Source organism: Homo sapiens, chromosome 16, assembly GCF_000001405.40.
Source record: "Homo sapiens chromosome 16, GRCh38.p14 Primary Assembly".
Lineage (NCBI taxonomy): Eukaryota > Metazoa > Chordata > Mammalia > Primates > Hominidae > Homo > Homo sapiens.
In genome coordinates this window covers 12,901,063-12,921,962 of record NC_000016.10, presented here as the reverse complement: position 1 = coordinate 12,921,962, position 20,900 = coordinate 12,901,063, and the positions used below count along the sequence as shown (strand labels likewise).

At 46.5% G+C, this 20,900-nt stretch overlaps 1 protein-coding gene across 7 annotated transcripts in view; it reads right to left on the bottom strand.

Moving 5' to 3' along the window:
- The window catches only part of SHISA9 (shisa family member 9), a 661,420-nt gene extending 641,055 nt beyond the window's left edge, over window positions 1–20,365 (bottom strand). For 6 of the 7 annotated variants that reach the window (XR_932915.3, XR_007064905.1, XM_011522642.3 and 3 more), the window contains exons 1-2: window positions 19,336–20,365; window positions 5,148–5,275 (exon numbers count right to left, since the gene is read on the bottom strand). Coding sequence is in view for 5 of the 7 variants with exons in the window: in XM_011522642.3 (XP_011520944.1) it covers window positions 5,148–5,275; window positions 19,336–20,021 (814 nt within the window). In the remaining 2 variants the exon portion in view is untranslated. Of the gene's footprint in view, window positions 1–5,147; window positions 5,276–10,317; window positions 13,485–19,335 lie in introns of those variants that run through there. The other variant, NM_001145205.2, reaches the window with a different exon arrangement.
- Between the last annotated feature and the right edge of the window lie 535 nt (window positions 20,366–20,900).

Genomic DNA, 20,900 nt, shown 5'->3' with positions numbered 1-20,900 from the left:
GGCAAAAACAATAGTATCAGCCTAATAAGGTTTTGAGGAATCCATGTTTTGGAGTTTTATAATGTTATCTGTGTAAGTCACTGCTGATATTACACTATCTTACATATTTTTTACTGTTATATATGCCTCGATCTATACTTATCATTTTGTCTGCCTTGGCTAGGAAATTCCCTCAAAATTTTTAATTTTTTTTAATAGAGACAGAGTTTCATTCTGTCACCTAGGCTAGAGTGCAGTGGTGTGATCATAGCTCACTGCAGCCTGGACCTCCTGGGTTCAGTCTCCCACCTCAGCCTCCCAACTAGCTGTCACTACTGGTGTGAACTACCATGCCCAATTACTTTTCAAATTATTTTTACTTTTTTTAGAGACAGGGTCTCATCTTATTGCCCAGGCTGGTCTCGAACTCCTGACCTCAAACGATCCTCCCGCCTTTGCCTCCTAAAGCACTGAGACTACAGGTCTGAGCCATGCTCAATCTCCCAAATATGTTAAAATACTTGGGAATATTTTCAAAAGTTAAGTGTAGGACATCCCAGGTGCCTCGGTAAATATGGACTCATAAATGGTCCTAGATATGAGCTATACAGCGTCCTCAGAAACTAAGCCGCAGGTCTGCTTTGGGATTCCTTGTAAGTCCGTTTGGGAACTGTCCTAGGAGAGTCAGGGTGTGACCGGCTGGAATAGCATCCTGCTCTTTCTGATGGATTTTATGTTCTAAAACATCAAGTCATCATTTCTCCTTACTTGCTCAGGTTATGCTGCAAACTAAATCACGTAACATCATGATTTATGTTATCGCATAACCCGGTTTCAAAGAGTGGTTGTAAGGGTATATGGAATATGAAAGTCTTTGTCCTATGAACATATACAAGAGCACAGTCAGACCAACAACTGGTTCCATTCCAACACTGACCCAAAGAGAGTAATTTTATGTAGTTGTTTTTATAGACACTAGGAAACACGTTTTACACTGTGGCAGTAAAGTCTTTGTAATCGCTTCTGGCTTGTTTAGTGTTGTTTCCTGTCTTTACCACATCATTATGCAATACTGCACAACCAAAATTCTATGATCAAAGTGTGCTCTATTAAAGACAACGTGGTATCCTGGATGGGACTCTAGAACAGAAAAGGAATATTAGTGAAGAAACTAGCAAAATCCAAACATGTCTACAGTTTAGCTAAAAGGAAAGTACTCACGTTGATTTCTTAGTTTTGACAAAGGTACCTTGGTGATGTCAAATGTTGATATTGGGGAGAGTGGGTGAGGAGTATACAGAACTCTGTGTACTATCTTTTGTTGTTGTTGTTGTTTTATGTTTGCTGGTACATAGTAGGTGTATATATTTGTAGGGTACATGAGATGTTTCCATACAGGCATGCAATGTGAAATAAGCACATCATGGAGAATGGGGCATCCATCCCCTCAAGCATCTATCCTTTCAGTTACAAACAATCCAATGACACTCTTTAAGTTATTTTAAAACTTACAGTTAAGTAAGTTACTATTGACTATAGTCACCCTGTTGTGCTATCAAACAGTAGGTCTTATTCATTTTTCTGGGTACTATCTTTGCAACCTTTCTGCTGTAAATATTTTTAAAAGTACTCAGAAACAAAAACTGTATTTCTTTTATATATATATATACTTTAAGTTCTAGGGTACATGTGCACAACGTGCAGGTTTGTTACATATGTATACATGTGCCATGTTGGTGTGCTGCACCCATTAACTGTTCATTTACATTAGGTATATCTCCTGATGCTATCCCTCCCCCCTCCCCGTACCCACGACTTGAAACAAAAACTGTATTTCAAGAAGTGTGCTGTGAACACAAATGAGTGAGAAACGTTGATCCAGGCTGTAGCCACAGCCCCTCACTCACGTCTTCCATCCTTAAGAAGACCAAAGGGAACCTACATGCAGCCTGAACCCCGAAAGGGGGAGAGGGGTGTCACTGGCAGTCAGGGAAGTCGGGGTGCAGGAGGTAGGGTATGTTCATAGCACTTAAGGACAAAATGTGCCTTCAAAAACAAACGATAATTATACAGAAGCTGAGGAGCATTTGCAGAAAATCACCATCTCACAGGAAACTACATCCTGTTAATCAAAGAGGTTGAGGCCCTTTTGATTATCAGACTAAATATTTTTAGGCAATATCACTGAATGCCTGGAAAGAACATGAACAGCATCCGCTGAAGAAAAATCCGTCTTTAGATAAAAAGGCAAGTCCAATATATCACAGGAAAAATCAACCCCAGAAAATTAATGTAGAAACGTTGACAAAAATGTTCTCTTTCCTCCCAGTTCACCTTCACCCAAGTCTCTCTCCATGGCCCTCTTCCCAAATATCCAGATCTCTACACTGGCTATTATCTTACCATTTGACTAAAACTTAAGAGAAAGAATAGAAAGAGACCTAAGGTTAATATTAAGATAAGAAGAGAGAAATAGATGGAGATTAGTATTCTCTTAAAGCAATGTTGAGTGGGTGATTGAATAGACATGAAAATGACATTTAACTTGAGACTAGTGAATCCTCAGTCAAATCTAACAACTTGGATGTTCAGTGAAGAACAAACTGAAAATAGCATGACGTGCCCTTCTTGGTGTTTCACAAATAGATGCATCATTCTTTCCAATTTGTGTAATGGTAAATCCTTGTACATCTCATAATGTCCAGGGAAGGGTTTTATATTAAATGGGTGCCTTCTGGTTCTGGCACAAAGGGCTGGTCTAATTTTCCATTTATCAGACTGGATACCTTCCCTTCTACTTTGCTATCAATCAAAATGTTCTCTGATGACTGCTTGGCTTCTTAAACCCTTAACTGATTAATATCAGTTATCTCATCCTATTCTCTCAATGCACTCCTCAAATCATCTGTTCATCTGAACATACAAATGTTTTTCTGTATCTATAATATGTAAGTAGCTCCTGTAAATCAATAAAAAGATAAACAAGGAAATCTGTTATTACTGTCGGCTGCTGAATTAATGTGTTACATATATTAAGCTTATTAATATAAACCGGTGAAAAGGTCACATTCTTCTTATTTTTGTTATTCAGATATTCCCAACAATGCTAGGAAAGAAGAATTGGATCAACCTGGAAGGATTATATAAAATTAATATCTGGGCAATTCTTGTAAGAATGTAGTGTTTGTAGAATGACTTCTAGAATTCTCCCCTGTAGCTTCCCAGGAATTCTCTAGTCTAGTGCTACCCAGTACACTATTATGAGACACTTTCTCCCTTGATGTAAAAGATCACTGATTACTTAGGCACAAATATAGACCAAACGCAAGAATCATAAATAAACCAAAGCAGCCTGGCGCAAGAGACTTCTGTCCCTGGACACCCATCTCTGAGCAGTAATCCATTTTCAGTACAACTTTCAATGAAAACGCCTTATGTAAGCAACATTCATTAAGGTTTCCCGCCCACCTGATGGAATGATGAAACTTAGGTGACTTCAATGAGTTTGTTATTTCATTTGAGTGCTGATTCAAAAATCATCCTAGAGATTGGAACTTCAAGGGAAAATCCTGTTAGCAATCACCTTTTACAGCCAAGGACTTGACACCCTTTCAATTTCTCTGCTCTGTGATCATGTTCATTTGTATACGATGTCTGGGACTGAAGCACACGACTAGGTTCAACTTATTTCCCAGTGCGAACTGAAAGAAAATGTGCTCATTTCCATTAAAGCCAGAATCGGACACAGCAACTGCCGTGTCAGAATTGATGCCATTTACCATATCTTCGGGGGGCTATGGGATTTGGTCATAAAACTTCCATTTGCTGGTGTATTTTGTTCTAAAATGTTGCTATTTCTCATACCCTTTTGTGATCCAGTTCACTAATAATGTTAAATTATTTAATATATTTAAACCTAACACATCCTATTTGGTGGCCTATTTTTCAAACCATGCAAACATTGACTTTACTAACACACTGCAACAATTTCCAAACCATGAAAAATCATCACTAGGCAGAATCAGAGAATTCACATTGCCTAGGTCAAATTCCACAGGCTTCTTCCTCTACCCACTGAGCATAAGAATTTGCAACCAAACAGTCCAAAACTATGATTCAGCAAATAAAACACCCAGGCAACTCCTAGTGGAGCCTCAGCAAAGACGACCCAGTCTGTAAAAATGTGCATCATTAGAATTGTTTCTGTTTTCAGGAACCTCCAGCCACAACTAAATGCATTCTTTAAATTGTCTGGCTTTTGTTATTTTAAACCAAACCCTCCACATTACTTTAATGTGGGGGTTACTTGAAAACATAATTACTGGGGTAACCACAGTATTACATTATTGTCAAAAACTAAACAATCTTATTTTTTCTCCAGTCTCATAGGTCAGAGCATCAGCTCCACGATGTATATTGTATATACAGACCTTTGAAAGGAAAGAAAATCTTTGGGAGTATACCAAGATCCCCAGTCATGCTCTGTGAAAAATACCTATTGAAACACAATAGCAAACACAGTTTTTTTTTTCCCCTGGCAGAACAATGGAAACGAATTTGCTGCTGTTGAATCATACAGAGGAACCTCAAATCAACAGGACCGAAATTCAATAACCACTCCCTGCACCCCCTACACACGGAATATTCTGTGGATTATTTTTATGAAACTCTAGCGTTACAAAGAATAGACATAATTCTTCTGAACTAGTATTTCATAATTGAAAACAGCATGAAACCTAGAAGTCACAACTGGTCTACCTCAGGAGGCAGACGTATAAGCTAGCAGACCATTGGCTAACAGATTGACTAGCTAAAATGAACTAACCCAATAATCCATTGGTTAACTAAGTATCCAACCATGATGAAACAACCAAGAGGGCCACTAATCTAGTTAATAAATCAATCAAGATGAACCAGTCGAGCAGTCTGCTAGCTAAAAGTATCAATCATGTGAAACCAACCAAGTGGATCGCCATTTAACAAAGAAAGCAACCAACGGACATCGGATGATGCTAAATTCAGCTTCATCCAAAAGACATGAAAGAAAGCTTCTAACTTGCCCACAAAGAGCTCTTAACTAACCCAAGCACACTCCACGAAATCTGGCAATGTGACCACTGCTCAGGTCACCCCATGGGACTGGAAATGGTTCATGCAGCTGTACTTACGAAGATTATTTATGGGGGTTCTCGTGTCCATGTTCTCATAATGCTGGACGTGGACAACGATGTTTAGGTCTCTCTCCATGTGATCAGTGTTGCAGTGGCCCTGTGGTCTCATGACATCCGCAAGGGCCCTGAAAGAAGAAAGAATTTAAATCTGTTCATTCAAAACACAATGACTGGCAGCTGCTATGCGCCGAGTACTGCAGTCGCGAACAAATGGCAAGGCGGATTACTCCATGGAGCCACCATTCTAGTTAGGGGTGGAGTAGAGAAAAACGTAAGTAAATAAAATCACTGTAATTAGAGGTTACATAGGGACTTTACGCAGGCTACTGCATATGCTTCTCACAGCAGCCATGTAATAACAGGACTATCTACCCCACGGAGTTTTTAAGAGGATTAAATGATGAATACATATAATGTGTCTGCACTCCATAGATTTAGTTCTCTCTTTATATCTAACACTAGATACAAACTCTTCATGTACAGCAATGGCCCAGTATTAGTAACAGTAGATAACATTTATTGAGTATTTGCCATAAGCCAGGCACCACGCTAATCGCATTACGTCTTAACTAAACAAAACAGCACAAAACACATTATGAGGATTATTACTCCTTGCAGATAAGTAAACAAAGGCTCAGAGAGGTGAATCGACCTGCTCAAGGTCACAGAGCCAGTAAGTTGTGGCACAAGAATTTGAGCCTGAGTATTTTTGGAGTGTGCAGGGGGATGGAGACACAATTCAACCTGTGACAGTGACCTTCATGATTAGATGTAAACTTAGCAAAAAAAAAAAAAAAAAAACACACACACACACACAAAAAAAAAACTCAGTGTTCATACGTAGAACAGACCAGAGAGCTGTCAAACAGATACCACACCCAAGATCAGACCTACCAATGCATTTTTTCTCTTTACACTCCATCATGTGTTTATTTAGATCATATGAATATCCTTGAAAGATATATATTTTTGTAGGTATTGTTGTATATGTGTGTGTCTTTTACATAAACAGTGTTTTTACCCTAAACCTCATTCCGTTTCTTCCTTTGTTCACACGTGAGTGTTAGCCATATTGCTGAATGTGAAACCCTTCCATCCCTTGCAGCCGCTGCATAGTATTCCGTCATAAGCAATCCCCACATTTCACTTACCTTCAGGAATGAGCCTTCATATGCAATAATTAGTATGGTGGAGGAACTGGCCCATCAGAAACCCATCAGAATGGATGGCAGCTACAAACAGCTGCCATCATTGCAAACCAGCAGACTATCAGCCCCATTTGTTATTTCCATAATTATGGCCATCTAGATGGTCACCAACTCCCCAGCCCCGATAAACAACACTGCAATAAACATCTTTTTCTTTCTTCAGATAGGGTCTTGCTCTGTCACCCAGGCTGGAGTGCAGTGGTGTGATCATGGCTCACAGCAGCCTCGAACTCCTCAGCCTCCTGAATAGCTGGGACCACAGGCACATGCCACCACCCCCAGCTACTTTGTTTTATTTTGTAGAGACGTGGTCTCAGGGTCTTACTATGTTGACCAGGCTGGTTTCAAACTCCTGGCCTCAAGAGATTCTCCCACCTCCACCTCTCAAAGTGTTGGGATTACAAGCACGAGCCACCGCAGCTGGCCAATAAACATCTTCATACCGGCCTCCTCTGTACCACAGAGAAGTTCTCCAGGGTGCAAACCCACAAGTAGAATTGCCGTGTTTGGGGATATACCCCCATGCCCTTAGCTGGCCAGAGCCCTCTAAGCCCACACACTGGGAGACAGAGTCGGAAGAGGAGCTGTTTGGGGGCAACCCACGCAGACCACCCATGAATTCAGCAGGCCCAGCCTGTCTGCTGGAACTTACCGTACTACAGCAGCGATTCTCAAACAACAGTCCACCTATCAACGGTGTCAGTGTCCTAGCAGTGTCGCCTGGGAACTTGTTAAGATGCAAATTTTCAGATCCATCTAGCCCTCCTGAGTCAGAAACTACAGGGGTGGAGTTCACCCAGCAACCTGCAAGAATCTGCTACACATTCAAATTTGAGACCGTGCTAAGGCCACACAGGCCCCAAGCATGGGGAACTGTCGATCACGGGGCAATGGAATGATAGGGTAAGAACTAGAGCTGGTGAGGAGACATCTCGGCTGTGAGACAGAGATTACATAGGGACTTTACGTGGACTAGTGCACATGCTTCTCACAACAGCTGCGTTGTGAGAAGCCACAACAGCAAGAGCCCCATATGAATGAGAGGAAAAGACTGAGTCTGCTAAGAGACAAGAGAATAACAACAGCTATCATTCTTTCATTGTTTCAACAAATATTTATCGTCTACTATGTGCCATGCACTATATAAGGCCCTGAAGATACAGCAGTGCCCAAGATGAACAAGGTTGCTGCCTTCCTGGAGCTTATATTCTATGGGAGAAGATTTAAAAAAAAAATAAACAAACATGTTAAGTAGATAAACTACCGGGCACGGTGGCTCACGCCTGTAATCCCAGCACTTTGGGAGGCCGAGGTGGGCAGATCACGAGGTCAGGAGTTCGAGACCAGCCCGACCAACATGGTGAAACCCCATCTCTACTAAAAATACAAAAATTAGCCGGGCGTGGTGGAGCATGCCCCTAGTCCCAGCTACTCGGGAGGCTGAGGCAGGACAATTGCTTGAACCCGGGAGGCAGGGGTTGCAGTGAGCCGAGATCGCGCCATTGCACTCCAGCCTGGGCGACAGAGCAAGACTCCATCTCAAAAAAAAAAAAAAAAAGAAAAACAAACAAAAAAGAAATAAATAAACGAGGGCTGCAAATCAAATAAATAAGAGTAATGTGATCAAGAGAGCCTGGGACACAGCAGCAATTTTCACAATAGCCAACAAGCGGAAACAACCTGAATGGCCGTCAGCTGATGAATGGACACACGAGATGTGTTACAGGAAATGGAATATTCTCCAGCCGTACAAAGAAATGAAGCACTAGTACCTGCTACAACGTAAATGAATCTTGAAAATATTATTCCCCGTGAAAGAGGCCAGATACAAAAGGCCACACATTGTATGATTCCATTGATATCCAATGTCCAGAACAGGCAAATCCATAAAGATGGAAAGTAGATTCATGGTTGCCAGGGGACACAGTGAGGGGAGAGGAAAGTGGCTGCTAATGGATATGGATTTTTTTTGTAAGGGTGATTAAAACCTTATTAGAATTAGATACTGGACTTGGAGTAAGTAGTGATGATGGTGGCACAACTTTGTAAGTATTAGATTAGTGCAAAAAGAATTGCAACTTTTGCCATTAGAAGTAATGACAAAAATGGGCTGGTTGCAGTGGTTCACACCTGTAATCCCAGCACTTTGGGAGGCCAAGACGGGTGGATCACCTGAGATCAGGATTTCAAGACCAGCCTGGCCAACATGGTGAAACCCCATCTCTACTAAAAATACAATAATTAGCTGGGCGTGGTGGTGGGCACCTGTAATCCCGGCTACTCAGGAGGCTGGGGCAGGAGAATTGCTTGAACCCAGGAGGTGGAGATTGCAGTGAGCTGAGATCACACTGCTGCACTCCAGGCTGGGCAACAAGAGTGAAACTCAGTCCCCCTCCTCCCCGCCAAAAAAAAGAAGTAATGACAAAAACCACAATTACTTTTGCACCAACCTATATATTAAAAACCATTGAATCGCACACTATACTTTTTTAAAGTACACTTTTTAAATATACCAAAAACCACTGAACTGTATACTTTTTTTTTAAGTTACAAATAGAAAGGAGGGAGAGATTCGGTGTAAATCAGGAAATGCCTTTGTGAGGGGGTGACACTGGAGATGGGCCTTGAACAGCGAGGAGTTGGACACGTGAAGATGATGGGAAGAGCATTCCAGGCTGAAAGAACAGCAAGTGCAAAGGCCCTGAGACAGAAAAGAGCTGAGATATTCGGAGAACAAGCAAGAAGGCCAATGGAACTGGAAGAGGGCCAACGAGCAGGGGCACGTGACAAGGTGTCCATCAGCATCACCTGTTTCACAGAGTGAAATACTGCCCACGTGAACTCACTAAGCAGTGCGGGGATTGGGAGGAGATGCAATCCTGAACGTCTTTGAAATCAAAGTTTGGGCTCCTTGCAACCTCCGTGCAATAAGCAGGGTCTGAAACTCAAAGGGGCTACAGGGAAAGAAAGTTTTGAGACAAAAGACAGAGGCCTTCCAAACCTAACTTGCCTTTTTCACTTGTAAACAGGCTCTTCATGCTGAGCTTCAGGGGATCGCTGAATCCTCTGAAACTGCATAGAAATTGTGTTTGTGCATGTTTCTCGAGCAAGAAGCCATCACTTTTATCGGATTTTCTAAGAAGTCCCCCACTCTCCCGCGCCCCAAAACTCCGAACTATTCAGGCTTTTGAAAGGATAACAAAGTACGTAATCAGAATGGCTACTGTGAACTTGGTCGGTTCTGCCATCCGCAGATCCCCTGGGCTTCTCTTGAGTACCAAAATTTGTGAAATTTCAGCCCCAAAGTCCAAGGACACTTTTCCCCAGGGCAGCCCTTCCTAGAGTGTGCGGCAGAAATGAAGAGTCTTTAGGGACCTTCATTTCCTGGACAAAGAGTCTTTGAAGTGGGGCTCGCTCACTCCAGGGACTGCATAAACCGATTTGGTATGGGGAAGGAAATGTCAGAACTTTTTTGTATGGTCTTACGTGTATTGATGCTGGCACCCACTCCCAGAAGGCCCATGTAAGATGGCAGGAATCAGGAACCTTGGACCAAGGAAGATGACCACCAGCAGTCCCGTCGCTGGGATGTGCTGCCTGTATGGCAATTATATGTGCCCCCAAAGGGGATGCACAGATTAAATTATTTATTAGCTTGGGGTAAAAGTAATTGTGGTTTTTGACATTGAAAGTAATGGCAAAAACTGCAATTACTCTTGCACCGACCTAATACTTTTGACTTGGCTAACCATCACAAAGCAGACATGTGGTTTAAAAATGCCCCCCTTCTTAACAAAACTACAGCCTGAAGATAGCACTGATCATGCAAGCACAAGAAAACACTAAACTGGACTCCCCTCCCTTCTCTTCAAAAGCTTCTCACAAGGGTAAAACAATTACAGTCTATTGAGATCAAAACAAAGTCAGATAAAAATAATGAAAATGCTCAGGAGGAATGGTTAAAATCCAGATTTTTTTTATTAATGATAAACTTCACCCGTCACTGTACATTATGCATTGAGATAGTAACTAATGATAGTATGAAGTCATCACAATTAGCAACAGGTTTTCAAATAATATTTATTTCACCCTCAAGCTTGGTTTGAAATTTCTGTCCTTACGTATGCTTCATAATGTACCTAATCATTGTTCGTGGGTTCATGCATATGCTTATAAATGTGCATATATTGGGGTGCATACAAAAAAACATTTTATAGACAGGAATGTGCTGAAAAAATGTAATGAATTAGACAGTAGAAAGAACCAACTATGTGCTCCAAGCCACACAAATGCCTAAGAATTTGGCGTTTGTTTGCGGCACATAGTTTGAGTGCTTCTCAGATGTTACGGTGCATCCAGATCACCTGGGGATCTTGTTAAAATGCAGATTCTGAATCAATAAGCAGGAGGTGGGGCCTGAGATCGTGCCCAAGCTCCCAGAAGATAAAAATGCTGCTGGTTCACAGGCCACACTCCGAGTGACAAGACCCTAAGCGTACTGTGATGGTTAGTGTCATGTGTCAACTTGACTGGGTCACAGGGTGCCCAGATATTTCATCAAACATTATTCTGGGTGTTTCTGTGAGGGTGCTCTTGAAATAGATTAACATTGAAATCAGTAAGCTAAGTAAAACAGGTTGCATTCTAATGGCAGTAAGACAGATTGCCCTTCTAATGTGAGTGAGCCTCAACCAATCATCTGAAAGCCTGGATAGAACAAAACACTGACCTTTGCCCCAAAAAGAGAGAATTCTCCTGCCTGTCGGCCTTCAGACTTGTACAAGTACAGAGGCTCTGGAGATTTTGGACTTCCAATTCCTTATAATGAATCTCTTTGTATATTTGTTCTGTTTCTCTAGAGAACCCTGTCTCTTGCAGTTACCTGAAGAAGAAGCTAAGCTTTTTCTTGATAGCCTTCCACCCAGTTCAGGAGAATTATGTTGAAACAAAATTGTTTGTTTAAAACAACAATTATGTTGAAACATAATTATGTTGCCATTTTTGAGGTTGAAATGACTGAATATTGAAAATTTCACAAGAGAGTACTGAAAGCTAGTACTAGAACCAGTACTTTCTTATGAAAGCTAGTACTAGAACCAGTACTTATAAAAGTGCTGGCTCAACTTTCTTGTACATTTCCTTGTGTGTTACCTGTCTCCTGATATTTGGCTGTTTGCTCTTCAAGGGCAGGGATTGCTTTTGTACTATTCATGGTTATCTCATATCTCTCAGCACAGTGTTGGGCATAAGTTAGATGTTCAGTAAATACCTATCGAATGAATGAAAGAATGAATGAATGAATTTGGAGATACTTTGTTGTGCCAGGTAAACCAGGATATCAAATGCAGAACTCTTACTTGCCAAATACTGAACTAGGCACTCAGAATCCAACTACTGAGTAGAAGAGACAATTGTGGTCCCTGTGTGTCTTACTATGAATAATAAAAGGGCCAGGTGCAGTGGCTCATGCCTGTAATCCCAGCACTTTGGGAGGCCGAGACAGGTGGATCACTTGAGGTCAAGAGTTCGAGACCAGCCTGGCCAACATGGTGAAACCCTGTCTCCAATAAAAATACAAAAATTAGCCTGGCATCATGGTGGGTGCCTGTAGTCCCAGCTACTCGGGAGGCTGAGGCAGAAGAATCGCTAAAACCCAGGAGGCAGGGGTTGTAGTGAGGCAAGATCACACCACTGCACTCCAGCCGGGGTGACAGAGTACGACTGTGTCTCGAAGGAAGGAAGGAAGGAAGGAAGGAAGGGGAAGGGAAGGAGGGAAGGAGAGGGATAATGGAAGGAGACAGATAATAAACTAGTAAACCAGTAAACTAGCAAGTTAATTTTAGACCATAATGTAAAAATGAAGCAAATAACACTGACTGGGTGATGGGCTGGAGTGTGTCAGGCTGGGGTGGGAAGCAACTAAGCCTGGTCAGGGACGGCTTCTCAGAGAAGATGACATTGGAGCTGGGACCCTGGTGATGAGGAGGGACCAGCCACACAAGGGCCAGTGCAACAGCTCCAAGATGGGAATGAGCTTAGCTTATCCAAAGAACAAGAAGAAAATGGTGCATCTCTTTTCTTTCCAATTACAATGACAAATATATGACACCAATATTTCCAAACAGAACTCAGAGTCCCGGTATCTTGCTTCAAAGCCTCCAGGTATCCCAATGTCCAATCTATGTGTTGACTTTTAAACACTTGAATAGAGTTCCTGAGCACTTCTTCTTGCACAAGAAGCATCAATTATTTTTCAAAAATGCAAGGGCAATGGGCATGAGTGAGCTTTCTAGAGTAATGATTACACAGGTATAGACATTTGTCCAAGCTCATCAAACTACACACTTACAATGTGTGCATTTTATTGTGTAAATTATACTTCAATGAAGTTGATTTTTAAAATGCAAGGACTCAGTGCCCAAAGAGAAGTCAACATACCCTGCAAAGAAAAATAAATTAAGACTTTTCTGTGGCCAACAGTAGATGCATGCACACATGGACTTCTCCAGCCTGGGAAGCTGGTCAAAGCCTTAGGATAACCACAAATGCATAGAAAGATGAGAGGCAGGAGAGAAACTGGAAGGCAAAAGGCAAGAGGAGGAGGTGCATTTATCATTATTTGTTGCTATTTCTTTCCAAGGGGTGCCAGTTCTTCTGAAGCATGTTTTAAAAACACACAGGACCCTTATCTGCCATTTGCCACTTGGATTTCCAATTCTGTTTGAAGGTGGACAAAATAATGACATGTGTTCCCTACTGGCTTCAAGTGTAGAGAGCTTCACATATGTGCTTCTGTCCCCAAGGTCATTTCTCACCAACGCCTCCACCAAGACGTCTGGGCCTGCCGGGGCCGATATAGAAAGCATTCCTAGACTTCATCTTACGGTAGCTTCTTGAACTGGCCCCGATGCATGAGCTGTTGTTTGCAGGGCATCGCGTACTTCTCTGTGATCTGAGAAGTCTGGAATTCCTGCAGGTTTGCACTCAAACGCAGTGCAGCCTAGCGGCCAAGGATCCGTGCACTCAGACTGTCCAGGTTTGAAGTCCGACACTCCACTCTCCAGGGGCAGGTTCGTCCTCTTGGAAAGAAATCTGTGCCTCCATAAACAGCAGATTGTCATAGAGCCTACCTCATGGGGGAAGGGTATGAAATTAAACGAGAATTTACACATAAGCTTATGGCAAAATTGCAAAACCAACAAGGATTTTTCAACACCACTTAGGCCAACACTTTGCAATGTATTTAACGTAGTCACATATAGACCCTCCCTCCTATTCTGCACCTGCCAGCCCCTCCCACTCAGATTCAAATGCAAGTCCAGAGAGGTTAGGAGACTTGGTCAATGTCACACAGTTAAATAAATATAGCAGAGCAAGGGTTAGTAACCGAGATCCAGATGACAACATAATTCTCTTCAGTAGACAAGAGGTAAAAAATGTCAATAATAAGGATGATGATAAAAGGGTAATAGTTGTGACAGGTCCTGAGCTCATTGTTTTCCAAGCCCTGTCTCAGTGAATCCTCCACCTGCAGACAACAGCCTGAGACTCAGAGAGGTGAAGCAACCTTCCCAAGGTCACACAGCTATTAAGTGGCTGAGCTGAGATTGAATCTCAGGCCATCTGACTGGAGTCTGCGCTATGCAGAGCAACTTGACTGACTCTCTAGAGGCTGCAGTTAACATAACAGAGTGAATTGGGTGGAGGTGGTGACTGAGATGAACCCAAGAGCTTCCTGAAGGGGGCAGTCATCACTTAGTGGCAACCAATAGCTGCTGCGTGAAAATGCAGATCCAATGTCACCAGACCCACTGAGTTCTCATGAGAAATCAGGAATCTGGATTCCTGCGTGAAATCTCCCAGTTTGTAAATGTTGGCAACTGAGTCTCAGCTGGTTTTAAAACACCACGCATAATAGAGACTAAAGAGATTTCACAGCCAAATACAATGAGCTGGGTCCCGATGTGCAAAACCAAGCTCTGAAAGACCTGTTTTTGTGCGAGTGAGAAATTTTTAAATGACTGGATGTCTGATGATATTACGGGATTTTTGCTCTTTTTCCTGGGTGTGATAATGGAATTGTGCTGTGTAGGAAAATGTCCTTGCTCTCAGGAAAGCCCCCTGCTGAGATATTAGGGACTAAGTGTCATGTCTGCAACTTATTTTCACATGTTTCAGCCAAGAAAGAAAGAAGAAAGGGAGGGAGGGGAAGAGGGAAGGAAGAAAATGAGGAAGGGAAGAAGATGAGAAGAGGGGAGGGGAAGGAAGGAAAGAGAAGGGAGAAAAGGGAAGGGAGGAAGGAAAAAAGAAGCAAAGAAGGGAGGAAGGGAAGAAGACAGAAGGAAGAAGGGTAGGAAGGGAAGAGAGGAAAGAAAGGAGGAAGGAAGCAAGGAAGGGAGGGAGGGAGGGACGGAGGGAGGGAAGGGTGGAAGGGGGATGGAGGGAAGGAGGGAGGGAGGGAGGGAAAGGAAGAAAAGAAGAAAGGAAGAGAGGAAGGAAGGAAATAAGGAAGGAAGGAAAAAACAAAGGAGGAAGGGAGGGAGGGAAGGAGGGAAGGGGGAAGGGGGATGGAGGGAAGGAGAAGGGAAAGAAAAAAATATGGAAAGAGTGTGTGAGCAATAAAGCAACTATGACAAAATACTAATAATTGTTCAATCTAAGTTAGTGGTTCTCAACTGGGGCCAGTTTTGCCCTTTGCCCTTAGATGACATTTTTCACTGTCAAAACTGGGGTGTGGAGTGTGTGCTACCAGCATCAGTGGGCAGAGACCAGAGACGCCGCCAAATATCTTGCCATGCACAGGACAGCCCCGTACAACGCAGGATTCTCCAGTCAATAGTGCCAAGGTTGAGAAATCCTCATCTAGATAAAGGATATAGTGAAGTTATGTTATGATTTTTCAAGGTTTTTTTGTATGTTTAAAACTTCTCACAACACAAAATTGAGGAAAACTTAAAAATAAAAACACCTAAGTAGAAATACCTTGCAGATCAAGCAAAGCATGACTACATGGTTTGGTATCCATAGCTGGCTGCCATGTGCAGTCATTTATTCTAATAAATAGTGACTGACTGTGGCTGCTCTTGCAGCTGCTCAATGGGCATTTGTTCGGTTCTTACGAGATCCCATGCGAGCCTCCCCCCACCGCTTCCTGGAATTGCTGTCTTTCTCCTTTTCTCAGCCCTAATTAGCCCAGAAGCAAGCAGGCCACAGGCCCAGGACTCTGAACCTGCAAACTGGTATCTTGGAGGCCTCTGCAGCAAAACCCAAGTTTACTGGTCACTAGGGGCAAAGTTTATAATGGGGGTGCGACAACATACTTTATGTCTTTCAAGAGAATATGCTTTCAGTCTGGATGAGAACAAACCCCCATTCAGGGTCCCTTGCAGCTCCAGACAAAAATTAAGAGGCTGTGACTGGCAGGTTAATTTCACCTGGAAGCTGCCTGTGACTGGCAGGTTAATTTCACCTGGAAGCTGCTTTGTGTCATAGCAGCCTCTCTGATGCCAAGCTTGGCAAGTTGACACCCACTGGAGCAACCCTTGGCACAATCCGGCAAAGGCTACTGGGTCAGTTGCCATAGCTGGGACTCCAAGTGATTAACTGCGTAAGCAGCCCAGGATGCATTTGGCAGGTACCTGGGGTAGCCCCAGCACCACAGAAAAGTTACATACGTTGAGAAACAAGCAACAGAATACAAATACGGTCAGGCACAGTGGCTCATGCCTGTAATTCCAGCACTTTGGGAGGCAGAGGTGAAAGGATCGCATGAGGTCAGGAGTTCGAGACCAGCCTGGCCAACCCCAGGCCAGGTGGAACCCTGTCTCTACTAAAAATTCAAAAAAATTAGCCAGGTGTGGTGGTGCATGCCTGTAGTCCCAGCCAGTCAGGAGGCTGAGGCAGGAGAATCACTTGAACCTGGGAGGCGGAGGTTGCAGTGAGCGGAGATCCTGCCACTGCACTCCAGCCTGGGTGACAGAGCGAGACTCTGCCTCAAAAAAAAAAAAAATGCAAATAAAATAAGAGATTCACAGTGGCTCCTCTCCTTTCTCCTGGATTAATTTATCCCTCCATCAGCCCTGTGAAATATCCCCAAACCCAAGACCAATGTTTCCCCAAGTGTGGACCACTTTATCTCAAAGCCATTAGGGGAGTGGGGGTTGTTAAATGAAGATTTCTCGGGCCCACCCAGAACCTATTGATTCACAATCTCTGTGGATAGAACTCAAGAATCTGCATTTTAGGACACTGCCCCAGATCCTGATGTTTATTCAATCTGAAAACATCTGTCCCAGACACAATTAAAACCAGGAGACTGGTAATGCATAATTTCCTAACTGTGTGATCTTGGACACAGCACCTCACCTGAGCCATGATTTTCTTGCATGTATGTGAATATTAAAATAGTACCTGTCTCATAAGATAGTTGTGAGAACTAAATGAGAGAGTGTTTACTTGCACACACACACACACCCCAGTACAGTGCCTGGCTCCCTGCACAGTGCTCAGCAGGCATTAGTTCCTTTTCCTTAACAGCGATTGGCTGCACATTAGCATCACCTGGAGAGCTTTTCAAGGTGCAGATGCAATCGGGCACAGTGGCTCATGCCTGTAGTCCTAGCACTTTGGGAGGCTGAGGTGGGAGGATCACTGGAGGTCAGGAGTTCAAAACCTGCCTGGCCAACATGGTGAAAACCCGTCTCTACTAAAAATACAAAAAATAAATAAATAATAATACAGATGCTCAGGTCCCACCCTAGAGATTTGGATCTAAGTAGCCTAGGGTGGGACCCCTGGTGACAGGATTTTTTTTATAAAACATTCTAGGTAATACTACACAGCAGTTACAGTTGAAAATCATACCTTAGAAGCTGCCAGTAAAAATCAACAACTCTCTTTTCGGGAGTATGCACTTCCACTCCATTCTGGAATTCTCAAAAATGTATACTGGGAGGACCTGTGTTGAGGCTCTGGTACCCTAGGACTGGGTCCCCTAGATTCTGCCACCAGGCCGACCCTCCCTATACCTGCAGAAGAAAGTAGCTGCAACCCGCTCAGCTGTGTTCATTTTTCCCCCAGCAGAGCTGCACGGGGGCAGGACCAGGAAGTTGGGCCCTTGGGTAACCGGTAGAGAGCTGTCACCAGAACGCCCAGATCAAAGAGGGCTGATCTAGCATCACTTTCTCCCACAGATGCCCAAAGGTTAGCTCCTCTCCCCACCTGCTCACCTCCCGTCAGGCCAACCATCAAGGAGGACTCTTTTAAGAGCTGGTTCGCGAGGGCAGGGCTTGATGGAGATTTCAGCAGTAGTTAACCAAATCTGCAAGGCAGCCTACCTGTCTCGGAGTCAATCTTTCCCTACCAAGGCGACACCCGCTGCCTCAGTCCTGAGACCACTTCTCCCCTCATCTTAACACAGACCCGGGGAATTAACAGGGACTGGCCTGGCCGGTGGGGCTGGGGACAGGCCACCCTGTGGTTGCGGAAGGTGGGCGGGGCCAGAGCTTTACTCCTTTAGTAGGTCAGGGTTTCTTTGAAGCCCCTCGGAGCTTACTTCTGTGCAGCAAGACCCCACCATCCACCCACAGCTCCCTGCTGACCCAAACCGAGAACTTCCTCACCTCTTCCCCCAAAATCTCTTCTCTCTGGGGGAAAAAAAAAAATCTCATCGGATACTCTGCGTATAAATAGAAAATAATTACTAGTGAGGTGGTGATGTTCCTTTGCCTATTTTTGGTGGGTCTCTTTGTTCAGATTTTTTAGGCATCACACGGAGCGCGTGCACACACGCGCGCACACACACAGGCCCCCGGCAGAGGGGGCGCGGAAGAAGGGGTGGGGAGAGGGTAGAGAAAAATACAGCGACTTCGTTGCCCAGACTCTGAAAGGGGACAGTTAAAGCTTATGCCCCAACCATCCAGCTGTTCGCAGGCCGCTAGTCACTCCTTCCACCCCGCCCGCCCGGACCTCACGCCAACCCCCAGCCTCTCCCGCGGCCGGGGGCTTAGTGCTCCTAGTGGCTGCGTCCTCCGCCTCCAAAGTTACGGAGTTTGCGAATCGATTTAGACACTTAAAATAAAAAAAATTTAAAAAAAGCAAAAGGCAAATAGCTCCATTAATCCCCCAAAGCCTTCTCCCATCTGCTGGAACTAGCTGGTGCTGGGGCTTGCATAATGAACAAGGCAAACCCGAAAGTTGACGAAATCAGGGTGCTTGGAAGTGAGGGCGCGCGAGGAGGGGGCTCGGGCCCCCGGAGTCCACGCCAGCCAGGGCAAGGGGCTCAATCTGCAGCGATGGCCACGGCCCCGGGCAGGGAGAAGTGGTGGCCAGAGAAAGGGATGAGGTGGGTAAAGGGGCGGGGGCAGCTGAGGTCCCAAATCCAGGGACGGCGAAGCTCTGGGAAAGCGAGGCGGCCGCTCCAAGCAAGGCTTTTGTTCTCGCCCTCCCCTCACTCCACCTCCCTCGTCTCCTTTTCGCGAGTCGTACGAGTTGCAGGCGGCACTCACTCTGACCCTCCCTCCTTCACACACGCGCGCTCGGGCTCACACACGCCCCCCTCCCCTTTCGGGCTCGCCTGCCCCTGTTTACCAAAAAGCTAGCACCTGGAATCCGAGGGGTGCCATGGACCCTCTCCCCAAACCCGAAGATTTCGGGGCCACGGGCTCCCAGGCTACGTGTCTCAAGTCCGCCTCAGTCACCAGCGGGAGGAGGCGGCCAGAGGGTGAGGGAGCAGAGTCACACACACACACACACACGCTCACACACACACGAACACGCTCAGACCCACACCTGTGCTGAGCCCAGCGCCCCTTCTCCGTGTTCCAAGCCGAAGTTGGCTTCCCGGTGACATCCCCCAGCGGAGAGGCTGGGATGCGGGGAGCGGGGACCGTGGGGAGCGCCATTGCCTGGGGGAAGGTGGGGAGGAGAGAGCAGGGAGAGCGAAGCCCCGAGGGGAGGGCGAAGGGGAGGCAGCCCACCTGGACATGTGCTCCCTTTGGGGCCGGTGCGCTTTCTCCAGCCCCAGCTTGGTGAAGATGCCCACGAGCACCATGACGGCCACCACCCCGCAGATGATGTAGACGATCAGGTTGGTCTTGTCCTTGGTGGGGTCGTGCAAGGGGTCGTCCTTGCGGGCGGGGGGCTTGCCGGTGTTGAGCCAGAGCGGCGTGTCGTAGTTGGTGCAGGTGCTTTGGTTCAGTCGCCGCTTCTTAAACGTGCAGCAGAACCGGAAGCCACAAGTCCCGCAGCAGAAGATGAAGTCGCCCGAGCTGCAGTTGAACGGCGGGTCCCACTGGCCCATGACATCGAAGTAGCCCCGGCAGAAGTCCGGCGTGGGCGCCCGGGTCGGGGGCGCGTCCGATGCCTCAGCGCCCTCGCTGGCCTCTCCGGAGGCGGCCCCGGAGCGGTTGCCCCCCGCCAGCAGCAACACGCCGCCCAGTTGCGCCAGCTGCCCGTGTCCCGCTCGCTCCTGCGCCCGGCACACGCGGGCGCACAGCTCGGTGAGGAAGCAACCGAGGAGCAGCCGAAGGACGCGGCGCATGGTGTCTCCCAGCCCGGGCTCGGCCGCTCGGCCGCCGCTGGAGCCTCTGCGGCCGCCTCTCGAGGCGCGGCCGAAGCTGCCGAGGCTGCTGCCGGGAGCTGCGAGCCGCCGCGGGCCGCACATGCAGGGAGCGGCGCGGGGCGCTCGGTGGTCGGCGGCCACTGCGCTCGGCTCAGCCCGCGTTCGCCTCAGCCCGCGTTCGCCTCCAGCGCGCCGCGCGCCGAGGGGCCGGCCGGGGAGGAGCGCGCCCGGCCGGGCGGGGGGAGGATGAGCGGGGTCAAGCGCGGGGTGCAGGTCCGGCCGGCCACTGGGTGAGGCGGGGGTGGAGAGCAGAGGAGAATCGGGCTGGCAGCGCCTAGCCTTGGCCGGCAGCCCCGGACTGGCCGCCCCTAGCCCTCTCGCAGTATCCCTCTCACCTCACCAGCTCGCCAAGTGCGCTGAAGAGAGCGAAGCGACACTTGTGGAATGAAGGGAGGGCAGGAGGGAAGGGGGAGGGGGAGGAGGGCGGGCAGAGGAGGCGCGGGTGGGGGGGGGCGGGCGCGAGCTCTAGAGGGGCGGGGGCGCGGGGAAGAGGTGACTAGAGCGGGAGCTAGCTGGGGGGCGTGCAGAGCTGAGCCAGGCGAGCGGACGGGGAGGAGCGAGCTCGGCAGCAGCCGAGGCTAGAGGAGCCGCTCGGATTTCCAGGCAGGTGGAAAACCGCGGCAGGACCTCCCGCGCCCTCTCTGGGTAGGAGGCGCGGCTCAGCCCTGTCCAGAGCGCAGAGGCGGCTCAGCTCGTAGCTTTTTCACCGGTGCGTGTGCAGGAGCGGCGGCCGAAATCTGTGCATCAGGGGAAGGATGACTCGGAGAGGATGGGGACAGACTAAATGGCTTTCACTCCAAGACAGACTGGGTGCAGTCTGGTCAGGATCGCCCCTCCCAGGCGTGCGGGGCCTCCTTGCCCTTCCCGGCTGCGCCCTCCAGCCCTGAGCGCAACCCGCATGGCTCAACTCTCTGGGCCCAA